This window comes from Homo sapiens, chromosome 4 (assembly GCF_000001405.40).
Source record: "Homo sapiens chromosome 4, GRCh38.p14 Primary Assembly".
NCBI lineage: Eukaryota > Metazoa > Chordata > Mammalia > Primates > Hominidae > Homo > Homo sapiens.
The window spans coordinates 149,177,167-149,204,699 of record NC_000004.12 but is presented as its reverse complement, the minus strand read 5'-3'; the positions used below and the strand labels follow the sequence as shown (position 1 = coordinate 149,204,699).

Here is a 27,533-nt window from a genome sequence, read left to right as displayed (position 1 = left end):
AGATATATTTTTATAAATGAATAGAATCTAGAATGTAATATGTGTCAAGAAGCTTTCTATAGACTTCAAATGATGTTGTCTTTGAAAGAAGCTATGAAAAAAAGATAGAATTAAAATGATTTAATCAATTTAGTTAATTAATATTAGTAAAATGATAATTTACTCAATTTAATAAATTAAGTACTTTCATATAGAATTTGGACTTTCAAGTCACTATGGGCTTCAATAATTTAAACTGACCAAATCTACAGATAAATATTAAACCTTTGACTATATTACATAATCTGAAACTGTCAATTATAATTTTCAATCTGAAAGATATTATATAAATTAAGCAATTAAAAAGGTAGTTCTGATGACCTTTGTAACTAAATCGAGTCATAAACACAATTGATAAGAGTTAACTTTAAGATAAATAAACCTGAAAGACAAAGCAAGAAGAAAAACAATTCTGCCTTTTTCTCTGTATGAATTGAAACCATATATAATTTTTAATTGCATAGCATGTGCTCTAACCAGTTGTACAAACTATTTATTAATGTCATACCTTTAGCTGTGGCTGAATTTGTTTGCTTTTTGTTTTTTGCCAGAGCTCAGTATTTTGGCATGTTTTATATCAGAGTTTTCTTATGGTGACACAATATTGCAGATACAGGTGGTGCCTCGTGTTCCTCTTGCAGTTTTATTTCTCTCCTTTATGCAGTGGTAACCACTAAATTGAGTTTAGTGTTCTTCACTTCCATCACTCCTCATTCATTGGATAAATATTTTTTAAAGCCTCTTACGGCCCAGGGTCTCTTCTCTGTCCTGGAGAATACAGCAGTGAACAAAACAGACAACAGTCCCCAGGCTCATGGACTTTATATTCTCATGTGGGAGTGGACAGGCAATATGCAAATAAGGAAGCAAATTATTCTGACAGAGGTGATCATTTTATCTGAAGGATGACGTTTAACACTAAAATTTATCTTCATATAAAGTGCATGGGGCCAATTATATTTATTAGTCTTAACATGTACACCTCAGAGTCGGTCAATGGGATTGTTTGTGAATACTGCCAAGCACCTCTGTTCATGTGTAGTGAAATTTGTATTGCCCTGAAAATTCCTCAGTGTTTATAAATAGTCTAATCTTGAGTGCATAGACCAATTACACAGTCACAAGAGGCACCAAACTTGTTGTACAGTGTCCAAACTTTAGTGAATTCACTTGGCTTGTTGTCAGCAGTCGACATCAGATATCAAGCTTCTGGCAGGAGCCTGCATGAAATCATCTCTTCCACCTTCACTTGACCTCTGCCCAGAGGCTGTAGAGCTCAGCTGTAATGTTTCATAATACATCAAGACACATCAATTCCATGCCAGCCTGCCCACCATCCTGGCTGAGCTTAACTAATAAGTAAAGAAAGCAAGCTGAATTATGAGAAACAATGTTTTCACCCCATTAGGATGTTTATTAGATTTCCTACTTAATATGATTTTTATTTGAGGAAGAAAAAACAGCATCCAATCTAAAATCAAACCCTACTGTCAGCATTTAAAAAATTGTTTTATCTGGGGCAATAGCTCTTTTCTATTTTTACATACCAATCATTATCAGAGGCAAGGTCAAAATTATAGGATATAAAAAATAAATATGAGATGTTTGTATGCTATTTCTTGTCTGCTAAGAAGCAGAGTATACTAGTAAGAAATCTGTACATTTCAGACAGATTTTTAAAATTCCATCTGAAATAGTAAATCTAACTGATATATTGGAAGAGTCATTCATTGAAAACTGTGTTGTTTGATGCCAGTATAAATATACAGACACAACAAGAATAGATTTGGAGCTATTAATCTTGTACCAATCTTAATCAAAGGGCATTAAGATGGGATTTCAACTAAGTGGACTAATAAACAGCAAAACTCCAAACAAAAAATCCTAACCCGAACAAGTTGAAGTAGTTTTATAATGTGTCTGTTCTCTTAGTGATAATCAGGAATGAACAAATATTCACTGAGAATCTACTTTGCATGTGCAAGTCATTTTACTAGTGAAGGTGCCATTATTAAAATGCCATTTTCTTTGCCTGGAGAAACAAAAGGGATGAGCAAAGGATTCTGGAATCTCAGAAGTTTTTGTAACTGTAGAGATCACTTACTGGTTCACCAAGTTGAACAGCTTTTCACTGAAACAACAGGACCTTGCTGTAGTCACTGGGAGGTCTGAGTTTTGGAGAACTCACAAAAGGACTTTCTTCCTTCATTTAGTATGTCTCAGCATTCTGAAGGTTGTCCAACTCTGGGAGCTCACCAAGTTTCATTTCATCCATTAGGCTGGGAGTAAAGAACAAACCTGCAAATTCTGTCAAAACTGGTGATGTATGGCTGCTGAGAAATTCAAATTGCTTTAAGTGTGGGAGCCAACAAAGTAATGTCCAACTACAGGATGAGATCACATCATGCACTCACTCTTTATGTGAGCTGCTTTCTATATGCATGGGGGAGAGCCAAAGCATGAGTTCATTGAAGAAATGGTGAAGAGCTTCTCCTTAACTCTCTAGCTTCCAACATGAATACGACCATAGACCCTACTTTGGATGTCTCTAAACATTGACCTGCACTCCACTTGGTCCTACTAATGATAGGTGAAACAGATGCATGCAGAACAAAGTTCAAACTCAATTTAGATTGCTGATTGGACTGAGATTCCCAGGTGTACTATCATCTTATCAGCCAGGATGGTCAACATTCTCCTCATTTATAAAGTTTGGCTGGAATGAGTTTAAGAATCCTGTTGTAGCAACAGCCTTGAGTGAGTTGTCCAAAATACATATTGTATATGTAATAGCAACAAGTGCATTTTGGAGAAGTAAAACTAAGGTGTTGGTTTATGAGGAGAGTTAAATTTTTTGAGACATTTTGCAAAAGCATTTGGCATATGTAAAAGCATTCAGCTCAGGGCAGTTCGGATGCCTCCTCTCCTCATTTGTACCAATTATTTCTAGATTGCGGAAGACAAACTATGTTCACAAGAGGGGAATGTTATGTCCATTGAAGGATTAAAACAATGTATGGTCATCAGGAAGAGGTTTCAACAAAACTTAGCCTCACATAAAAACAGTTTGGATAACAAAATGTAGTAAAGTACATTTGTGGCTCTTATCTCAAATAAGGCTTTCAAATTTGTATTAGAGTATAAGAGATTCTCAGAATTCATGGGGAATATTCAACATGGGCCTGAAATAGTGATGGAGAGGGGAAATTATGCAAGATAGGGACTGATAGAGAGGCTTTTCATGGAATGGTGATATGACCTCGGCTATCATGCGCCTCCTTTTCCTTTCTTCTTCACAAGCTTGTCCTTGTCCATGCTCTCTCCCCACATCTAAGGCTGCTGAGGAAATTACAGAATGTCCAGTTAAATTTGTATCTTGGATCATTGAAAAATATTCATTCATTGAAAAAATTATATATTGTTTATCTGAAATCAAGTTTAACTGAGCATCCTGTGTTTTTATTTGCTAAATCTTGCAACCCTACCAATATCCCATCCATTCCATCCTGCCCAAGCTTAATAGCAGATGGAGAAAAGGATTGTCATTAATATCAGCCAAGGAATGCTTTGCCAAATGAATCAGGTTGGACTTGGTACCTCTGGTTTTCTGCCCATCCCTATCCTTGCCTCCTCCCCAGGACTGGCAGCTTTTCTCTTAAGTTAATGTTTTGAGTAAAGTACTAAATAAAGTGGTTAAGCCTCTTGTGTTCTAGAAACTGTCACAGGTAAGGGGCCCCTACACTATCTGTGAAGAACACTTATTCTCCATGGGAGGAGTTGATGGGGTCAGCCTTTAGGTTTTTGTTCATTCTTATTCAGCAAAATAGAATCTAGCAAGCACTGCTGTGAAATCACCCTCTTCGTTTGGCTCACTAATATTTGCATATGAATGCTTTGGATATTAAGTAGAATCTTGAGAAAAAAATGAAAACATTGCTGTGTTGCTACTCTCACACATTTACCATGGGGGAAAATGTTTTCAAATATGCATTGCTTTGGACAGATTTATGAGATAACTATAAGAAGAAGAAGAAAAATAAGCCTTATGTATTGTTGTGTACTCACTGAGTATAAGACTGAAAACGCTTGCACTAAAAAATCCATGATTGATTGATGCAAGCCATGGAAATGTGTCAAATTTAACAGCTTTTATGAACTATTTTGCAAATTGCACATATTTTCTTTTCTTATGTAAAAATTTAAATTGGCAATAAATTGTATCTGTTTTAGTCTCAGTAAATTACATAAATAACTTCCATGATATATAGAATTTCTCATGAATGCATCAAATGTTACAATACATTTTCATCTTTACTACATAGATCACATATAGAACGTAGAATGTACCTAGAATGTGAACTGTAAAGATGTTAAAATGTAGCACATACTGGGAAAATAAGCATTCCTTTGCAGATTGGAATGAATGCCTTCCAAGTGATAAGACAAAATACCACAAATCTGCTAATAAATCTGCCAGTAAACTTTCTTTCCAAATGTACAAAGGGAAAACAGTTACCTTATAAAGATTAATACATAAATATGCCTGTTTATTATGCCTCAGAATATCTCTTCTGCAAGTCTCTTTAATGTTCAAATCCAATTCTACCTAATTTTAAGTAATCATTTTTGTTGTCATCTTACTCTTTTCTTACCTGTGAGGCTGTCCCAAAAGTGTCAGCAGCTGCACTTATTTTTTTTTTCAGATCTTTAAACCAAGACTTTTTTTAAAACCAAGTCAGACACAGAAAGACAACTGTCACATGTTCTCACCCATAAGTAGGTGCTAAAACATGTGTACACATGAATAGAGAGGGTGAAATGATAGCCGATAGAGACTAGGAAGGCTGAGGGGGTGGAGGATGAGAAATTACTTAATGGGTACAAAGTACATCATTCAGGTGATGGACATCCTAAAAGCCCTGACTTGACCATTACACAATCTATGCGTGTAATGAAATTGCACTTGTGCCCCATAAATTTATATATTTAAAACAATTTTTTTTCTCATTAGTGTCCATCCGTAAAACTTAAATATTAGAACATATTTCACTTTGCTAACAGAAAAGAGCCAAGGTATTTACTTTGTAACTGTATTTTACTTATGCACGTTACAAATGTACGTTGAGCAGACACTTTTTATTGCCTGTATTAAACTTCTTTTCTTTTAAATTGATTTAGAGGTCTGTTTAAATGTACTTTAAAATTGTAAAATACTTTAGTAAAATTGATAAATATGAATATTTCAGAAATGTGTTTTGTATGTGAAATTACTCAGGTGTCACAGCTGGCTGAGGATGAAATATCCAAAGCAAATGAGCGTGAATTAGATGCTGCCACAAAGATCAAAGGACTGAGGTGGAGAAGAGACAATGATTTTGTCTGATTAGAAAGAGTTTTATGGGCTCATGATCACACACAAAAAAATGTAGCCTAAGTATTTTAACTTTTTGTTTCTGATTTTGTGTTTCTTTTTCTTTCCAAGTCTAAAAAAAGCAGAAGCTGGAAGAGCCAAGGTAGGCTAGGGCAGAACTCTTGGAGCAGAGATGACAACAATAAACTGAGAACAATGCTTGTCCTTTATTAATGGTAAGTGGGGAGGGAGGATTACCTTATTATAAGGGGTTATCAAGAAAAATGAGCTTTAAAAACTCACTGCTCCAGTGCCACAACACTAGACTCTGAGTCTAACCTAACCCTAATTTTTCCCCAAGGGAGAGGGATTTGCCTCTTTGAAATGATTATATTTGGGGGATAAAAAGTGTTCTGTATGGAAAATGAGAGTTAGATAAGTAGTAAGTGATGACAGTTGAAAATTCATGAAAACAGTCCTAAATTGTGCTTAGATTATTTATTTCTTTAAAGCTTTCTCAACGTTTATATAACCTTGTTATGTAGTTGATATAATACATTTCCCTAAGCTTAGCAAAACACCCAGAAAGAAATATGTAGAACTTAACATCTTGACTTTGCAAACCCGTATCTCAGTTTAAAATAGAGCAACAGAAATAAATGCACAATGACCCGTAAATCTATTACTTCCCCCCGACCATTCTCCCTCTCTCGAAGTCCAGTTGTACACTTCTGTGTACCTATCAGACATCTCTGCCCCAAATCTGAACAAATGTTTGGGCGACTGTCTTTGTTCTGTCACTTGCTTTTCCTGCAGTGCTCTGTCCGTCTCCCCTAGTCCTTCCATTCTGTGTATTGTCTCACCAGAGTATTCTGCTCGGCCTCTCCCTGACCATCTTCCCGTTCTCAGCACCACCATATACCCTCCTTCCGGTCCCTCTCAGCTGTCACTTGACCTATTTCAGCACCTTCAACTTAGTCTTCCTGACTCCAGTCAGGGATGTGAACATTCTGTTTGATTAAAGAATCAGACACATTACTAAAAAATTCAATTGCATGTGCAGTTGAGTTGTGAATAATCATTATCATTTAAGCAGATATCCACGTAAAGTGTATTCACAATAATTTCTCAACAAATAACTACGTTGAGTTAGGATTTTCAAGGAGCAGTTTTTGTGGATTCGTAGAGTTTCTGCTATCTGGTAGATCTGACATGCCCTATTTCAGTTCACCCAATTTCATTTAACACTAAACTAAATGAGGGAAAAAACGTCTTTCTAATACAAGATTTTAAAGAAAATTATATGGAAGAATAAACACATTATCTATGCAAAGACTCCATGTTGATAAGTATAATGTAATAGGAAATAATTGAGAAGAAGTGATATATATATATGTTAAAATATTGATTAATCCTATTGAATGACAGACAAATTTAAATAATAAACAAGGGCCTGAAAGACTTTTAAAGTCTTTTGCAAAAAATATGAAGATCAGTAAAAAATTGTTAAATTTTAAAATTCCAACTGAAAAAGATTTTCTATAGTATAGAGTTGAAGAACAGGATACTAGTGCTAACATGCATGATAATAGAGGGTAAATTGACAACTTGGGATGAATACTGATTAGAAAAAAATATGTGATTGTTGGAATCAGTGCAGTTTTATGCCAAGATCTGAATGAAAATTGAGGAATGGCTAGTGTTTTAAACTTTCAACTTCAAAGACTGTTCATAAAATGGAAGATGTAGACAGGTCCGTAATTTACAGGACATATGTAGTTAATGAAAATGTTTCTTGTCTCATTTAAAGAAGTTCCAATAATCTGTCCTTCTGCATATAGGCATTTCTTATTCTCATCCATAATGGATATAAGGCCGGTTAACATTTAACTGGCACACAATTGCAAAGCACTTTGCAAATATAAAATATTATGTAAGTGCCATAGAATCCATTACTTAATACTCAATCTTCAAGCAACAATTAATGAACAATGCAGTATTATAGAATAGTCTTACTAATGGAAATTTAACTTCCCTTTAGCTTTGGAAGATTTCAGAACATTACATAATTGTGTAAAGTCAAACTGAATTTTAATCCATACATTATTTATGCTATTTGGTTGTCTGGCTTTAAGTAGAGACACATATATAATATTTCATACATAGTATTATATACGTATGCATATGTAAAATCTCCCATTTCCTGCATGGGGTAATAATTTTCATTCTAGAATTTATATATTTATGGCCTTACTACTAAACATTTAACTCGTATACGCCCTGTGCTGAGCATTATCTGTAATTTGCAAGAGACTCAGGCTTCTCGAAGCCAGTATCACTAAATGATCCTTCTATGAATAATTCAATGAAAAAATATAATTTTTTAGTCAGATTTTGAGGAGAATTTTATTTGTAAAAAGAGCCCTGGGAAATTGGCAAAGCTGAAGATTGCTATACTGTGACCCAAGACTCTAATACAGGCAGGGGCTACTGTTGTATCACTTGCAAATCCACTCACTGTTTTCACGTTGTTTGAATAGATGAGATTAGCCTCAACAGCTATACCAGTTTTCAATGTTTGGCACTTTCAGTATACTCCTGTCTTTAAGAAAAAAGTGGGAGACAATGGACACAAAGAACTTCAGAAACTTTGTCAGTTCTCAGAACTCCTAAGTGTTGTGCAGGCAGATGAGGTGAAGGTGAATTTCAAGAATGAAGATCTTGAGGCACAGTACCCTTTCAGTGAACTGAACAGATTTGAAAATGTGTGGGCCTCATCATTTTCAACAAAAAGCTGTGCTCATCAGGTTTAAGAAGAAAAGTTTGATCAACCATCTCCTACTGCTTTTGGTATTTTTGTTGCTAAATAGATTTTTAGGTACCTCTAAAGGTGGTAATTTTGTTGGAATTTAGTTGACTTCACTACTAAATTAAACCTAATTTAGGAACTCTTTCATAGTAGTTTTAGGCCACCATTCCAGGACTCTTCAGAAGAAAAGAAGAAATGAAAACATTCTGTTCAACAAAGCCCAGAATATTTCTGCAGCATCTGACCCAAGTGGAATAATTTATTCATTCATTCTGTCATTTATTCATTCAAAAGACATTTATAAATTGCTACTATGTGCCAGCCATTGTGTAAGAAAGTAAACATGATGGGGATGCATTAGAAAGTTCACAGTGGAGATTTAAAAATAAACAACTATCATACAATAGGACAGCTGGAGAGATAGATTTATGTATGACTAGGGGTCTCTAACAACCTGAAAGGTAGGTGGGTGAAGACAAGTTATTCTGAATATGTGACTTTCAGTTTCCAAGAATGAGGCAGAAAAGATATTCTTCTTAGAAGAGATAGAAATATCAACTTTCAGGCAGGAGATAAGATTATAAGTGCACACAAAACTTGTTCTTGGAATGTAGAAGATATATGAAAGAGTAGCAGAAAATATAGCTAGTGAGAGAGGCAGAGATAAGATCACAAAGGCACTTGTATGTAATACTGAGTTTGAACTTTATCATGAAGACACTAAAGAGGCACTAAAGAATAGTTATTGGACGGATGGATGAATAAATGAATATACAAGCGAGACAAGAATACTTTTAATACATTTCCAAAGTGGAATGGAAATCTTTGGTAGCTTTGATGCTCTTATAGGTCTAACACACATATACACACAAACAAACACACATATAAGTGTGTATGTTTATATATCTATGTGTATATATATGTGTGCATATACATACATATATATATATATATATATATATATATATTTAAAATGATCTGTAAACAGCATCAAGCAAAGAACGTGTTCACCATAGTGTCCTGGGCCCTAGAATGGGGGGGCCTGGCACATAGTAGATGCTCAATATATAGTTGCTGATGAAATGTATGAATAAACATATTTTAAGCAGGAAAGGAAGCCATATCTCAGAATATGGAATGGAAAACACTATGGAAAGAGGAGCACCTAGGGAGGATCGGCATGTTAGTGTGGTGATTTGAAGAAGAAATGATGAAATGTTGGATTAGGAGCCTGAAGACTGAAAGGCTGAGAGAGACTATAAAGACACTTGCAGAACTTAATTGAAAATGAGATGATGGAAATCAGGGAGTGATAGAAAAGCAGGATAACTTCTAGGTTTCTTGTTTGGACTAATGAGTGGATTTCAGGCTCTCCCTCAGAGAGGGAATTTAAGAGAATAAAAATATTTGGGATGTGAAAGTAAAATTTTATTTTAGATGTGTTGATTTTAAACTCTCCGTGAGACAGCCGGGGATTTCAAGAAGGTGGCTTGATCTGTAACATTAGGAAATCTGAATTTTAAATGGTAGATGAAGCTAAGGGGATACATATTTTTCCAAAAGAATATTTAAAGAAGAAAAAAGATTGAGTGAGGTGATAGGAAGAGGACTTGCTCTATTTTCTGTAAGTTAGTCCTGAGGTCTTTCTCATGAGAGTGGCCATAAGCTCTAGCTCTGCCCTGACTAGTAATCAAAAGATTCAATCATGGATGTTTACAATGTGCTTCTCATGGGATCCTTTTTTTATCCTGGTAGACACTCTACTGCCTAAGTGTCCAACCCGTGACCAGGTGGCCCTCTCACAGAAAATTCTTTATGCTGGCAAATGCCGTTGCTGCTCTTGTCTGATCTCTGTCTTATTTCTAGTAATGTAGCCACTCTCAATGAGAGCCCTAACTGGGAAAGAAGTTAGGTTTGGGTGTGTTGGTCACATGAGACCCAGAGGAGGCAACTCAACAAAACACATGAAATAACAGAACCATTTTCTTACGCACAGATCCCAGAGAGACAAGGACAGCACCCTTTACAAAGCCAATTGGAAGGGGCATGGAGAGTCAACCAGCAGGTAAGGAGCAAGAGAGATAAGAAGACCTAGGGACCACGGCATTCACTGAGGTCCAAGGCATTATCCAAGCAGTTATCTCTCAGGGAGTTCTGCTTGGTGGGTTTAGAGCAAATAGAAGTGAGTTCTGTGGAGTCACACTGTGACTGAGAGATGGTCACTGTGGCATATCTGCACAGTCCATGCAGGATGCAGGGCCCCATGGGGTGAGTCAAGTAGGTTGTATCTAGCTGTCCTATAGGAAGGTGGTCACCAGAAGATGGTTGTTTTAAGGCAGATATCTAGGTCTACCACTTTGAGGAACTGGAAGGAAGCAGAGAACTGGAAATTGTGTCAATGGTGGCTAAGCCCTGCTTCTGTTAAGAGAAAGTTAAGCTTATATTGAAATGGATGATGAAGCAATATGAAATTACAAGAATTCACTTCAAGACGTCATATAGGAGGTAGAAGAAACATTCAGAGAGGTGGAAGAAGAAACCAGGAAAGTGTGGGGCCTCTGAAGCTAAAGGAGAAAGTAGATACATTTTTATTGTGCATGATGAATTTTAAAGAAAACTGTTAAATACAACGTAGAGACATAAATAAGAATAAAGCAAATAATCAAATAATTGGACTTTTCTTTCTTTAATGATTACAAGGGCCCTAGATTAGATAACTTGTCTAAACAGATCTTTACATAGAAAAGTAACCCAACTTTGATATTCCCTTCTGTTTAATTCACACAAAAGAACAGGAGTTCTCTTTAACCCTGTGTCCCTCTAATATACACGAAGAACCTGGTGACAAAATATTCACAAACTATGGATATAATAGGGAGACCACAGCATTCTTATTATAAGGGCTATAAGATTCAATTTTCCTCCCTGGACACTCCCCCATCTCCACCATCATTTATCAATGCAGTGAAACCAGCATTTATTGAGTACTTATCACGTTACAGGCTCTGAAAACTTTATGCAAATCATGCCATATCTTTTAATCTTGAAAATAATATTTTCTCCAAATAACCAGTTTTGCCCCATTTTACATAAAAGAAAACAGGCACAGTTACTTAGCTGGCAAATGAAAAAGTTGGAAATTGAATATAAGCAGTTAAACTTTAAAGGCTGTACTTTTTCAGCATCATACTATACTTTTTCAGCATCAGCAGAGTAATGATCAAACACCCCTTCAATCAGAATAGTAATTGCAGTTTTTAAAAAGTGTACCTATTTAGCACAATAGTGAACTGTATAATTATATACTCTTTGAGACACTGGAAAATATCCTTGGGAAATGCCTTAGCTTGAGCTCTCTTTCTTTTATACACCAAGAATAAAGAAAAGTTTCACGTTTCAGTTAGGAGGAATATTTCTAGTGATCTATTGCACAGCATGGGTGACTATAGTTAATAATAATGTGTTGTATATTTCAAAATTGTTGGAATGGTAGATTTTAAATGTTCTCATCACAAAGAACTAAGTATGAGAGGTGAGGGTCATATTAATGACCCTGATTTAATCATTCCACAATGTATACCTGTATCAAAATATTACATCGTAACACATAAAAATATATAATTATTATTTGTCAATTAAAATGTAATTTTTTAAAAAAAGATTTAAAGTTATTGATATGTTAAAACATTTTTTTAAGTTTGCTAATGCAATTAAATTACAGTCTATAATTCATCATGCTTTCTCAAGTCCATTTACATTATTTAAATTATGGTTTTCTAGGCATGCTTTTATGTAAAATCTGATAAAATGATGAACTGATCATTTACACTCTCTAATTAGTATTATTACATAACTTTGCTTATAATTGAAAGCTAGTGATTTGTTTTTCAAGATGGTAAATTTCTGACAGACAAGAAAATGAAAATAATACCAGAAGCTAAATTAATTTATTACCATCTATGTTAAACTGAAAAATCTCTGTCAGCATAGAAATCATGTAATCTTGATGGAAAATGATTTTAGGACTAAGGAGAAGAATATAAAAAAGACATAATTCCAAAAGAAAATAAAAATCTAGAGAATTTTTAAAATTTTTATTTTATTATTATTTATTTTATTTATTTTGAAGCGGAGTCTCTCTCTGTCACCCAGGATGGAGTACAGTGTCACAATCCTGGCTCACTGCAATCTCCTCCTCCAGCGTGCAAGCGATTCTCCTGTCTCAGCCTTGCAAATACCTGGGATTACAGGGGCCCACCACCATGCCTGACTAATTTTTTAATCTTTTTGGTTGAGATGCAGTTTCACCATGTTGGCCAGGCTGGTCTTGAACTCCTGACCTCAAGTGATCCACCTGCCTCAGCCTCCCAAAGTGCTGGGATTACAGGCATGAGCCACCGTGCGTGGCCTAGAGAATATTTATTTTTAAGTTGCTTCAACTAAGAAGGTAGATACTATATGTAGACACAAAGTGTTTAGAATTGTTCCAGTTCATAGACAAATGAAGACATATTTTCACTGGATGTAAACACAGATGAGTAAGAATAGGAGAGTGATTCAATAGGAAGAACCATCAATATGAATTGATAAATATTTAATCATGAATAACGCATACATCTCAGATGATGAATAATGAACTGATTATTCTGGACATGAATAGAAACAGGAGAGGAATTTGTTTATCCTAAGTAATATGGGAGGCAGCATTCACTATTTTATGACACCAGGTAGTATTACTTGCTTTTACATCCTGTTAATAAATATGAAGCCCAACATAGCTGTCTTCAGTTTGCAGTGAGGTAAGAATTTTGAAGAGAAAGTGACGTTGATCCTGCTGCAATGATTTCTTTAGAGTTTGACATTGTAGCTCAGCGTATGAAAAGGTGAGTGTCTTCATGATCTGCATCTTCAATGAGGGTGTTTTAAATCATCAGCATATTTAAATAGGAAAGGACATACAGGATCAACATCTTAATTTCTCTGCAATTGCTCAGTGACTTACCCTCTGATTTAACACATGTACCCTTTGTACAGATAGCTATCTGTTTCAGGTCTATGACACTTTTCTTTAGACATGATGTTTCTTCTTTTCTTTTTCTATTTCCTTTTTATTTTTGGGGTGGGGGTGGTGGGGGGGGTTGTCTTTGCTCTGGAGCAATGGTTCTTTGCCAGTGCCTCTCTGCCTACTCTCTCCCCTCTGCTCAACCTCCTCCTTCCTCAGACATTACAGCTTCTTCTAGAGGTAGAGACAGCAGGTGGCGGTGATGGAGAAGGTCTGTTCATACTCAGAATGGGATGGATTTTGGAGCCCTTTTCTCTCTGTCTGAATATTTTGGAACTGTTTTCCATAGTTATGAAGGAATCTTGCTTCCTGGCCCCCACTCACTAACGTTTCCCCCCACCATCCGTCTGTGAGCATTGCTTTGTTTCTGCGATCACTGAACTGAAACCAGTTGAGTGTCAGCACTTATCCCATATGTTCATTAGCAGTGAATCTGTAATTAATTTCTTGTGGTTTAAAGTTAATGAAACTCTGTGTGTGTGTGTGTGTGTGTGTGTGTGCTGTGTTTATGGGTTTTTAAATGACTGCTTAATTATTTTTCTTAGTGTTGCCTACATTCATAATAAAGGGACCTTGTTTTGTTTGGCTGTTTACCAGTAGATTTTTTGTGTTGCATAAATCTACAGTGTAGATCACATCACATGAAAGGAAGAGTTTTACTTTTGAGCTACCTTGTTGATTTTGGGGGCAAAAATATTTTACTGGCACATTAGTAAAACCCATTAAACTATTTCATAGGGAGACTGATACACGTTTTCACATATTTCTAGAAAACCACAGTAAAAATAGACTATGAAAAGCATACAGACTAGTCATGTAATATTAGATATTGTTTAGGCAGGCTTTTCTTAACTTTTTTAGTTGATTGATAGCTGATAAAAAACAAATGATAGATTTAAAAATTAAAAACAGTGCCAGCATAATCCCATTTTATATGTGCACATATATATATATATATATATACACACACAAAACAATACTTTCTACAATGCTTTCTATAGTTTTCTACAATGATCATGTATTATATATGTAATAGGAAATAAAAACAAAAAATACTCTGAATGTAAACAAAAGCATACATCGTGTTGACTTTTCAAAAGACATTAATACTTGATGTTCTTCCTATATATTTTCAACCATACCAGCACTTAAAGAAATAGGAATTTACTAATTTAACAAATATTTATTGAAAGTATACTTTTTACAAAGAAATATGAGAGATTCAAAGACAAACATGGCCTGGGAGGGCTGATGAATGGGCAGTTGCAGTCGGGGGAGTTAATATCGGAGAAGGTGTGCTGGACCTAAAGAAGCACATGCTCAAATTTCTATCACACATAGAATTTTTCAGGACATTTCTATATAATAGCTCTAAGGTGAGAAAGAAACTAACACGTGTTAAACTTTCTTGTCATAAAAAGACTTACACTACAGATTCTAGAAACTCCAGCTATTAGGGAAAATAGCAAAGAACTATGAAATTTTTAACCTAAATATTTGAATATTGAGGAATCAAAATAGGCAGAGGATCTGTTTTACCCCCTTTTTTTTGTTGTTGTTGTTGTTTTTTTTGAGACAGTCTCACACTTTCGCCCAGGCTGGAGTGCACTGGCGCAATCTCGGCTCACTGAAAGCTCCTCCTCCCAGGTTCAAGCGATTCTCCTGCCTCAGCCTCCCGAGTAGCTGGGACTACAGGTGCCTGCCACCACACCCAGCTAATTTTTTGTATTTTTAGTAGAGACAGGGTTTCACTGTGTTAGCCAGGATGCTCTCGATCTCCTGACCTCATGATCTGCCCGCCTTGGCCTCCCAAAGTTCTGGGATTACAGGCGTGAGCTACCATGCCCGACCTGTTTTATCCTTTTCTTGTGATTAACAACATGAGACTAGGAGTCAGAAACCCATGGGTTTAAATGCTGGGTCACTGTTTGCCACCATGTGACTAGGAAGAGGACTTAGCCTTTCTACTCCTCATTTTTAACAAGTTTTGAATGGTTTTTACTGCATAAGTTTGTGGTAAGCATTAAAAGAAAAAATATCCTAAATAATTTATGACAATGCCCAGCCAAAAAAATCATAATAATCAGTCAATAGTTTCAGCATCACCAGTATTTGTATTTTTACTGGCTTGGAGGCAAGTTCCTCATACGTCAAAATAATTGTAACTTTCCCTTTGTGAACCTGAAATAGGAAGTTTCCCATTCTCACAGGGAAAAGGAGCTGTGTAAAGAAAAATCTGGAGAGACGTGCCATTTTGCTGACTGTAAACAAGGGCCAGAGAAATGGCCCTTGTCAGTGATATGCATTACAACAGTCCTCTCTCTTAATTCAGGAAAAGATTCAGCTGCCTATAGTTCATTCTAACCATGCCAAGTGCCTGTCTTTTGGGTTCTGAGTTGTGTGAGTTGTATATCATTCTAGAGTCTAGTTCTGGAGAAATTTCTTTGATATAGGCTATTTCAATTTGTTGTAGTAAGGCAACTCTAATTCAGAAAGGCCAAGGAACACATCATCATTGTAGCAAGAGTCTAGGTAAATTAGGAGGTCGGCGGCGGGGGTGGAACTGTAGCAGATTAATGAGGCTCCTGGTTGCTAGTTGATGCCAAGACCCTGGAAAGACCTGAAGATCTCACTTAAGCATTCCTAAAGAATGCAATGGAAAGAATGGAACATCCACCAGCTTCTTATGCTTCCAAAAAGCAACAAGTCAGAATTATCTTGCCTCAAGCAGTTTGGTAGAAACATCTACTTCCTCTTCAAGCAGTTTGGTAGAAACATCTTCTTCCTCTTCTTAGACAAGAAGATACAATTTCCTAGCCTCCTTTGTTGGGCCTTTGGTACCCTGTGACTGAATTCAGGTCCACAACATGTGGGTGAATGCCATGAAAGCCATTTCCAAGTCTGGCCTTTAAAAATATCTTACACAATCCCCCATCGTCTTTCTTTCCCAGTCTAAGTATCCTTGGGGACTACACATTCTAAATCACACAGCTATGGAATGGAAGAGACTCCTGACCTATACCAGACTTTACATGAAGAAGAAAAATTTCTATACTGTGCTACACCACTGAAATTTTTGAGTTTATATTTGCTATTTCAACATAGCTCAGACTATCCTGGCACATGTAGAGACTGTAACTCTCCAAGTGTCAAGGAGAACGGTTGCGAGAACTACTCGCAGAATCATATTTTTGAAAGCTTAAGTCAGATCATACTTTTTTTATAACCTTCCAGTGACTTCCTCTTATAATTAGAATAAAATCTGAATTCCTGGCATGGTAAGACCCTGCATAACCTGATCCCTGTCTCCCTCTCTGGCTTCCTGGCCTACATTTCCCCTTTGAATTCAACTTTTTGAAATCCTTTGAATAGGCCATGGATGTGTCAGAACCAAAGGTCTGAGCACTGACTATGACTTCTCCCTCAAATGTCTTTGCTTGAGAATCCACAAGGTGGGCTGTTTCTCATCCTTCAGGTCTCTGTCACTTCCCCACTGTTACTCACTCCTGGTGAATTCACTCATGGAGAATTTCTCTCCCTTTATCCTGTATTGTTTTTTTTCTGAATATTTGAAATGTTGTTATCTAATTATTTACTAGTTAATTGTCTGTATCTCTCACCTTTCTCACTAGAATATAAGTCCTGTGAGGTCAGCCACCCCATTTGGATGAAGTCAGACACACCCTGTGTCTAAAACAGTGTCTGACACATAGCATATATTCATGGGTAAATGGTTGCTTACTTAGTGAAAGAAACAAGGTTGTTGGTTTTTTTTTTCACTCTTAAATCCAAGTGGCAATATCACATAAGCGCTATGATTCCATAGGTCTGTGTAACAAACAAACAAACTAAAGGCAACATTACAAGGAGATATATTAGAATATACTTGTACTAGGTTGAATACTGTCCCAGAAAATTTCATGTTCATCTGGAATCAGTGATACAGATGATACAACCCCTTTTGCAAATAAGGCCATTGCAGATATAATCAAGTAAAGATGAGGTCATGCTGGATTAGAGTGGGCTCTTAATCCAATGTGATTGACATCCTTTTAGAAACAGGGAAATTTGGGCACAGAGACACAGACACACAGGGAGAACACCATGCTAAGATGAAGGCAGACCTTGGAGTTAGGGCATCCCAAGCCAAAGACCACCAAAGCTTGCTGGCAGCCACCAGCAGCTAGGAAGAGGCAGGAAAGGATCAGCCTTCAGAGCCTTCAGAGAAAACATGGCATTGTTTGTGTGTTGATTCCAGATGTCCAGCCTCCAGTGAGAGAATACATTTCTGTCACCTTAAGCCACCAAGTTTGTGGGGCTTTATCGCAGCAGCCCCAGTAAGCTAAGCAACAAAACAAACCTCAAAAAGTCTAATTTAAAGCAGGGTGGTATTGACGTAAAGAAATCAGGGTCTTAGAGGAAAAAGGAAGACGCTGAAATCAATTCAGCTGCATAACATTTTTATAAGAAAAAGTAAAATATGAAAACAAAGCAGAAGCAATGTCCATTTTAAAAACTGTATGGCTAGAACTGCATAGCAATTGACCAAAAAAAAAATAAATAAATAAAACTCAAGTGGGGTTATACTAAATTATACTTTTCCTTCTAGAATTACCTTCCCCTTTAATTTAAGTAACAATAAACAAAGCCTTATCCTATTGGACTCCAGGAAAACTAATCTCTCGTCCAAGTATTTCTGAGTATGAGACTCTTTCCATGTGTTCTAAGGGTAGAGTATTCTAGCAGTGTAGCATTCTTTCACAAACTTCACCTCCAAAACATGAATTTGGACATTTTATTATTACTCAGATTGTAGTTGCCTTCATAAGACTGAGGCTGGAAGCTAAAATAATGAAGTGACATTGTGGAAAATAAATTAAAACTAAAAATAAAATATTCTAGTTCCCAGCATCCATGGTTCGTCCCAAGATAATCCTAGAAGGATTTTGTTTATAGGCTGTCCTTCATCGGTTGCAGTCAGCCACCATATTTCTGAGGCAAACCATCCACCCCTCAGGAGAGTATTCTATTCCAAGTCGTCTTGTTTTCAAGTTCACATCCTCCCAGTCAATTCCAACACTAGCACCAGTTGTAGAGGCCTTGCCAGTGAAAGCTACAAATTAGTGTCATGAAAAAATCTCAGCACCAGAAATATACATCTCCCCCTTCTAGAGTAAATCCCAGAGATCATGGCTTTCCCTCTTACAGGATGTAAAATGTAACGACTTCTAACTGAAAATAATACAGAATTTTTAAAAATCTATAGATGAAAGTCTATTTGTTGTATTTGACACAACAAAGTAAATTACAGGACACTGAAAAATTAATATATGCTTAAAATGCCTATGTAATAAAAATAAAATTAACATAAAAAGAAAAAGGGTGTTGGAAATCTTTGGAATAAGATTGATAAGGGGTTGCTATCTGTCATATCAAAAGAACTTTAACATTTACTAGAACAATAGCAAAATATCAAGAGCATATATTTTGTGCAAATTTGTGTAATGGTCTGCTGAATAGGCATGACACAGATATCCGGGAGTTTATTCATAAGGATGGAGACTCAGGTACAACACATAAAGTATAGAGAGGACGAATGGGGATTTTCAAACAAGCGATTTCCCAGGTAAGACACAGAGTAACTGTTTTCTCTGCACAAAATCAGTAGTCTTGAGGGAGAGGAGAAGATGGCAACAGGATTTGCTTCATGAGGCCATAGATAATTGGCACAGTACCTTTTTGTCTCACAGTAAATGGGAGAGTCCAGCACATGGCTAAGGTTAGGCTACTGAACTCCAGTGGGGCTCCCCAAATAATGCTTTAAGGGTGGGAACAACCCTAAAACTGTCCAGGACTCACTACTGAGGCCAAGAAATCTGAGCAGAAAAACTCTCCATCTTTTCAGCCACACCAAGTAAATAGGAAGATGAAGGAACATTGCAAATTGACATTACAAGGAAAAGGAAAGCATTTTGCTTAGTATTTGGTTTTTCCTCATCATTTTACATGGTCTTTTTTTTAGGTTGTTGTGACATTTTTCTGAGTTATAAAATGATTGATAGTCCTTGTAAAAGCTTCAAAGAAAATATAGGAACGTGTAAATAAAAAATAAATATGACTAATAATCCCATTACTTTTTAACTGATAACTTTTTTGCGTTTTATATTTCTATCTAATCATTTCTATTTATACATCTCTACCAATAGCTATAGGGATATGTATAGGAAAAACAACCTTTCCCCCTCTCTACTTGTGCTATGGTTTGAATATGTGTTCCTTCCAAAACTCATGAAATTTAATCCCCAATGTGGCAGTTTTGAGAGGTGGGGCCTTTAAAAGGTGATTGAGTCATGAAGGCTCTGCCTTCATGAATGGGTTAATAATGGGTTGGTGGATTAATGGGTTCTCATGGGAGTGGGACTTCTGACTTTATAAGAAGAGGAAGGGAGACCTGACCTAGCACACTCAGCCCCCTGGCCATATGATGACCTGCGCTGCCTTGGAACTCTGCAGAGAGTCCCTACCAACAAGAAGCCTCTCACTAAATGTGCCCCCTTGACCTTGGACTTTGCAACCTCTATAACTGAAGAAATAAATTTCTTTTTTTAAATAAATTATCCAATTTCAAGTATTATTTCATATGCAACAAAAAAACAGATGAAGACAACTCTTAACCCTTCACTTTTGCTCACCAAAATGTATGAGGATTTTTTTCATGCTGATCAATGCTCCAATTCTCTGCAGACACCAATTAGGTGTCCTACAATTTTTTTTTTTTTTTTTTTTTTTTTTTTTTTGAGACAGAGTCTCGCTCTTATCACCCAGGCTGGAGTGCAATGGCACAATCTCCGGTCACTGCAAGCTCTGCCTTCCCAGTTCAAGCAATTCTCCTGTCTCAGCCTCCTGAGTAGCTGGGATTACAGACACCCACTGCCACGCCCAGCTAATTTTTTGTATTTTTAGTGGAGATGGGGTTTCACCATGTTGGCCAAGCTGGTCTCCAACTCCTGACCTCAGGTAATCCACTTGCTTCAGCCTCCCAAAGTGCTGGGATTACAGGCATGAGCCACCACGCCCGGCCGGTGTCCTATAATTTAACTCACTTCTAACACTATCTACCTGGAGATAGCATCAAATCCTGAGTTAAGGACTCAGGCTCCACAATACTGCCCCCCACTTCAGATGCCACTTGCAAGTCTTAGTCGTCACCAGTGCTTCTGAGCAAGCAGCTATAAAATCAGAAGTTTCCACACCTTCTCGTTGGGGTTGATCATTTAGCAGAATGTCCCCCCAGAACTCAGGAAAACAATTCACTTATTAGATTACTGGCTTATTATAAAAAGCAATGAGAGAAGAGATGAGGAGCTTCCCTGGCCTCTCTGAATATGCCATCCTCCCCGCACCTCTACGTCTTCTCTAACCTGGAATCTCCCTGAATCTGTCCTTTAGGGTTTGCCTCTTTTTATGGGAGCTTCATTACATAGGCATGGTTAATCAAATCATGCCTTGTTGATCATTCTCTAGCTCATCTCCTCTCTCCTAAGGTTAAGAGGTGGGGCTGAAACTTCCAGCTCTCTAATCACATCCTGAGGCTGTTCAGGAGTCCCTAGCCACCAGTCATCTTATTAGCATTCAAAAGGATACTCTTCATTCCAGAGATTCTGAGGGTTTTAGGAACTGGTGCCACAGAACAGGGGAAGAGACCAAATATATATTTCTCATTATGCCACAGCATATATCTGAATGATGTATGTGTATAATATTCCATCATAAGGATATATCTTAATTTAGAGAATCATCCCCCTATTCTTTAGAAATTTTGATTGTCTGCAAGGGTTACTATTATACTTGTATGATATATGTATATAATATATAAAATAATGCAAAATTTCATTATAATGAAATTATATGTAAGTCTCTATACAGCCCTCTCATAATTTTAAAAAATGCATTCCTAAAGCATTTATGCTAAAGTTAATGGCATGAATATTTTGAAAAGTCTTAATAAACATCATTAGAATTCACTCCACAAAATTGCACCAACTTAAATTACTACCTTCAGCAAATGAGAATATCTTTTACTATGCACTTTCCAATACCAGATATTAACATTTTGCTTTCAATTTTTGTTAACTTGATAGTTTAAAAATATGTTTTAATTTTTATTTCTTTATTATTAGTGAGGTAGAACACATTGGATTCTTTTTTTCTGCTATTCAAATTCTGATTGTAAATCAGTAACAGGAGAAATTGTATGATTATAGTACATTAGGAAAAAAATAAAGGAAGCTATTAAATTGGAGTTAATAGATATTCCCAAGTGTTCCACATACAAACAAAATGGGAAACTTGGAAGAACTATAATCTGGACCTTTTTGCACATAAAAGCATAAAAATTACACATAAAAAATTGAACTCTCTAGCATCAAAGACATACTAATATATATAATAAGTTACAATTTATAACAAAAGGTGAATCAGCCCCTGTTAAGGACCCACTGTTGTGTCATTCTAGAGTTGCTATGCTAGGGATGATGTCTAATAAGGGAGGGAAGGATCTGGGTGATAATAAGATGTGGCTGGGGAAGAATGGCTAATTCTGAGTAAAAGTGAATTATCTGCTGTTCTAGATAGCAGTTACAGACTTTTGTAACCATTGAAGGGGAAAAGATTACACAATGTCAAGTTAAAATAGAATCTTTTCTGCCATGCATTACATGTACTTATGTCCAGGATTTACCAGGGATAGAGTTTAAGAACAAGTGTACCATGTAGAAGGCTTTAGGTTAGGATATCTTCCTAGACATGGCAGGGAGAATGGCTAACCATTATCACTGGCTGCAGCTGATTTTGGTTTTGTAAAGATGCCAAAAACATCCATGCTGCCCTATCTTTGTTTGCCTAAAAGGAAGAAAACTGTAGCTTCATCACAAGATAGATGGCAACGTGATTGACAGAAGCCAATGGAAATAGATAACATAATACAATTTACTTTACCGTCGATAAAGATATGGAAACATAACTGCATTAAAGCTGAAGTTGCCCCTACAGTGCATGGACCACAGCAGCACTCCTGATCAAAGTCCCCAATTTCCAGGCATATGTCTTCATGCTAATAACACTTCCTTATCACGGTGGGGACACCACCAAGTCATTCAAGGTGCGTCCCGGTTCTGTCTTTTTTTTCTTTTTTGAAATACCTACACCCTTCCACCCATGCTGGAAAACCTGGCTGTGAGCCTCTCTATCCTTCTGTGAGGTATAAGTAACTGGTAGTGATGTAGGCATGCTGCTGAATATTTACTGTGAGGTGAGTGACTTCAAGACCATTTCCCAAGCACATGATCCCCAGCAGCTCTAGGTTTTATGCTTTCTGCAGGCCTAATTCTAAAGTTATAAAATGACAGGTACACACTGAAAATGTATTAACTTACTGTAGTTTTTTTATTTATTTATTTTTTATTATACTTTAAGTTCTAGGGTACATGTGCAGAATGTGCAGGTTTGTTACATAGGTATATACGTGCCATGGTGGTTTGCTGCACCCATCAACCCGTCATCTACATTAGTTATTTCTCCTAATGCTATCCCTCCCCCAGCCCCCCACACCCTGAAGGCCCTGGTGTGTGATGTTCCCCTCCCTCTGTCCATGTGTTCTCATTGTTCATCTCCCACTTATGAGTGAGAACATGCAGTGTTTGGTTTTCTGTTCCTGTGTTAGTCTGCTGAGAATGATGGTTTCCAGCTTCATCCACGTCCCTGCAAAGGACATGAACTCATCCTTTTTCATGGCTGCATAGTATTCCATGGTGTATATGTGCCACATTTTCTTTATCCAGTCTATCATTGATGTGCATTTGGGTTGGTTCCAAGTCTTTGCTATTGTGAATAGTGCCACAATAAACATACGTGTTCATGTCTTTAGAGTAGAATGATTTATAGTCCTTTGGGTATATACCCAGTAATGGGATGGCTGGGTCACATGGTATTTCTAGTTCTAGATCCCTGAGGAATTGTCACACTGACTTCCACAATGGTTGAACTAATTTACACTCCCAACACTGTAAAAGCGTTCCTATTTCTCCACATCCTCTCCAGCATCTGTTGTTCCCTAGCTTTTTAATTATTGCCATTCCAACTGTCGTGAGATGGTATCTCATTGTGGTTTTGATTTACATTTCTCTAATGACCAGTGATGATGAGCTTTTTTACATATGTTTGTTGGATGCCATAATCGTCTTCTTTTGAGAAGTGTCTATTCATATCCTTTGCCCACTTTTTGATGGGGTTGTTTGTTTTTTTCTTGTAAATCTGTTCAAGTTCTTAGTAGATTCTGTATATTACCCCTTTGTCAGATGGATAAATTGCAAAAATTTTCTCCCATTCTGTAGGTTGCCTGTTCACTCTGATGATAGTTTCTTTTGCTGTGCAGAAGCTTTTTAGTTTAATCAGATCCCATTTGTCTATTTTGGCATTTGTTGCCATTGCTTTTGGTGTTTTAGTCATGAAGTCTTTGCCCATGCCAATGTCCTGAATGGTATTGCCTAGGTTTTCTTCTAGGGTTTTTATGGGTTTTGGTCTTACATTTAAGTCTTTAATCCATCTGAAGTTAATTTTGTGTAAGGTGTAAGGAAGGGATCCAGTTTCAACTTTCTGCATATGGCTAGCCAGTTTTCCTAACATCATTTATTAAATAGGGAATCCTTTCCCCCTTGCTTGTTTTTGTCAGGTTGGTCAAAGATCAGATGGTTGTAGATGTGTGGCATTATTTCTGAGGCTTCTTTTCTGTTCCATTGGTCTATGTATCTGTTTTGGTACCAGTACCAAGCTGTTTTTGTTACTGTAGCCTTGTAGTATAGTTCGAAGTCAGGTAGCACAATGCCTCCAGCTTTCTTCCTTCTGCTTAGGATGGTCTTGGTTATGTGGGCTCTTTTTTGGTTCCAAATGAAATTTAAAGTAGTTTTTTCAATTCTGTGAAGAAAATTAATGGTAGCTTGATCGGGATATCATTAAATCTTTAAATTACTCTGGGCAATATGGCCATTTTGATGATATTTGTTCTTCCTATCCATAAGCATGGAATGTTTTCCCATTTGTTTGTGTCCTCTCTTATTTCCTTGAGCTGTGGTTTGTAGCTGTCCTTGAAGAGATCCTTCACATCTCTTTTAAGTTGGATTCCTAGGTATTTCATTCTGTTTTTAGCAATTGTGAATTGGAGTTCACTCATGATTTGGCTCTCTGTTTGTCTTTTATTGGTATATAGGAATGCTTGTGATTTTTGCACATTGATTTTCTATCCTGAGACTGCTGAAATTGCTTATCAGCTTAAGGAGATTTGGGGCTGAGATGATGTGGTTTTCTAAATATACAATCATATCATCTGCAAACAGAGATAATTTGACTTCCTCTTTTCCTGTTTGAATACCCTTTATTACTTTCTCTTGCCTGATTGCCCTGGCCAGAACTTCCAATACTATGTTGAATAGTAGTGGCGAGAGAGGACATCCTTATCTTGTGCCGGTTTTCAAAGGGAATGCTTCCAGTTTTTGCCCATCCAGTATGATGTTGGCTGCGGGTTTGTCATAAATAGCTCTTATTATTTTGAGATACGTTCCATCAATGCCTAGTTCATTTAGAGTTTTTAGCATGAAGGGCTGTTGAATTTTGTCAAAGGCCTTTTCTTCATCTATTGAGATAATCATGTGGTTTTTGTCATTGGTTCTGTTTACGTGATGGATTATGTTTATTGATTTGTGTATGTTGAACCAGCCTTGCATCCCAGGGATGAAGCTCACTTGATCATGGTGGATAAGGTTTTTGATGTGCTGCTGGATTCGGTTTGCCAGTATTTTATTGAGGATTTTCATATCAATGTTCCTCAGGGATATTTGCTTGAAATTTTCATTTTTTGTTGTGTCTCTGTCAGGTTTTGGTATCAGGATGATGCTGGCCTCATAAAATGAGTTACGGAGGATTCCCTCTTTTTCTATTGTTTGGAATAGTTTCAGAAGGAATGGTACTAGCTCCTCTTTGTACCTCTAGTAGAATTTGGTTGTGAATCCGTCTGGTCCTGGACTTTTTTTGGTTGGTAGGCTATTAATTGCTGCCTCAATTTCAGAACTTGTTATTGGTCTATTCAGGGATTCGACTTCTTCCTGGTTTAGTCTCAGGAGGGTATATGTGTCCAGGAATTTATCCATTGCTTTTAGATTTTTTAGTTTATTTGTGTAGAAGTGTTTATAGTTTCTCTGATGGTAGTTTGTATTTTTGTGGGATCAGTGGTGATAACCCCTTTATCATTTTTATTGCATCTATTTGATTTTTCTTTCTTTTCTTCTTTATTAGTCTGCCTAGTGGTCTATCTATTTTGCTGATCTTTTCAAAAAACCCGCTCTTGGATTCATTGATTTTTTGAAGCGTTTTTCACGTCTCTGTCTCCTTCAGTTCTGCTCTGATCATAGCTATTTCTTGTCTTCTGCTAGCTTTTGAATTTGTTTGCTCTTGCCTCATTAGTTCTTTTAATTTTGATGTTAGGGTGTTGCTTTTAGATCTTTCTTGCTTTCTTTTGTGGGCATTTAGTGCTATAAATTTCCCTCTACACACTGCTTTAAATGAGTTCCAGAGATTCTGGTATGTTGTGTCTTTGTTCTCATTGGTTTCAAAGAATATCTTTATTTCTGCCTTCATTTCGTTATGTACCCAGTAGTCATTCAGGAGCAGGTTGTTCAGTTTCCATGTAGTTGTGTGGTTTTGAGTGAGTTTCTTAATCCTGAGTTCTAATTTGATTGCACTGTGGTCTAAGAGACTGTTTGTTATGATTTCCGTTCTTTTGCATTTGCTGAGGAGTGTTTTATTTCCAATTATGTGGTTGAATTCAGAATAAGTGTGATGTTGTGCTCAGAAGCATGTATATTCTGTTGATTTGGGGTGGAGAGATCTGTAGTTGTCTGTAAGGTCTGCTTGGTCAAGTCCTGGATATCCTTGTTAATTTTCTGTCTCATTGATCTAATATTGACAGTGCAGTGTTAAAGTCTCCCACTATGATTGTGTGGGAATCCAAGTCTCTTGTATGTCTCTAAGAACTTGCTTTATGAATCTGGGGCTCCTGTTTTGGGTGCCTATATATATTGGAGAGTTACCACTTCTTGTTGCATTGATCCCTTTACCATTATGTAATGCCCTTCTTTGTCTCTTTTGATCTTTGTTGGTTTAAAGCCTGTTTTATCAGAGACCAGGATTGCAACCACTGCTTTTTTTTTTTTTTTTTTGCTTTTCATTTGCTTGGTAGATCTTCCTCCATCCCTTTCTTTTGAGCCTATGTGTGTCTTTGCACATGAGATGGGTCTCCTGAATACAGCACACCAATGGGTCTGGACTCTTTATTCAATTTGCCAGTCTGTGTCTTTTAATTGGGGCATTTAGCCCTTTACATTTAAGGCTAATATTGTTATGTGTGAATTTCATCCTGCCATTATGATGCTAGCTGGTTATTTTACCCATCAGTTTATGCAGTTTCTTCATAGCGTCGATTGTCTTTACAATTTGGTATATTTTTACAGTGGTTGGTACTGGTTGTTCCTTTCCATGTTTAGTGCTTTCTTCAGGAGCTCTTGTAGGGCAGACCTAGTAGTGACAAAATCTCTCAGCATTTGCTTGTCTGTAAAGGATTGTATTTCTCCTTCACTTATGAAGCTTAGTTTGACTGGATATGAAATTCTGGATTGAAAATTCTTTTCTTTAAGAATGTTGAATATTGGCCCCCACTCTCCTCTGGCTTATAGAGTTTCTGGCGGGACATCAGCTGTTAGTTTGATGGGCTTCCCTTTGTGGGTAACCTGACCTTTCTCTCTGGCTGCCCTTAATGTTTTTTCCTGCATTTCAACCTTGGCGAATCTGACAATTATGTGTCTTGGGGTTGCTCCTCTTGAGGAGTATCTTTGTGGTGTTCTCTGTATTTCCTGAATTTTAATGTTGGCCTGCCTTCCTAGGTTGGGGAAGTTCTCCTGGATAATATCCTGAAGAGTGTTTTCCAACTTGGTTCCTTTCTCCCCATCACTTTCAGGTACACCAATCAAATGTCGGTTTGGTCTTTTCACCTAGTCCCATACTTCTTGGAGGCTTTGCTTGTTTCTTTTTACTCTTTTTTCTCTAATCTTATTTTCTCACTCTATTTCATTGAGTTAATATTCAGTCTCTGATATCCTTTCTTCCATTTGATCAATTCGGCTATTTGTACTTGTGTATGCTTCACGAAGTTGTCATGCTGTGTTTTT

At 36.8% G+C, this 27,533-nt stretch overlaps 1 long non-coding RNA gene across 1 annotated transcript in view, besides 1 other annotated feature; it reads right to left on the bottom strand.

Annotated features, from left to right (window-relative positions):
• LINC02355 (long intergenic non-protein coding RNA 2355) overlaps window positions 1-27,533 on the bottom strand; it is a 123,829-nt gene that overhangs the window by 73,424 nt on the left and 22,872 nt on the right. Inside the window, exons 3-4 of the long non-coding RNA NR_125887.1 lie at window positions 2,144-2,337; window positions 548-807 (exon numbers count right to left, since the gene is read on the bottom strand). This is a non-coding gene — a long non-coding RNA (long intergenic non-protein coding RNA 2355). The remainder of the gene's footprint in view (window positions 1-547; window positions 808-2,143; window positions 2,338-27,533) is intronic.
• Window positions 20,586-21,098: an enhancer, noted in NCBI's record as "NANOG hESC enhancer chr4:150104754-150105266 (GRCh37/hg19 assembly coordinates)". NCBI's record gives its function as "activates a minimal SCP1, AML or CMV promoter by ChIP-STARR-seq in primed H9 embryonic stem cells {active_cell/tissue: H9 hESC(primed)}" and the evidence as "EXISTENCE:reporter gene assay evidence [ECO:0000049][PMID:30033119]".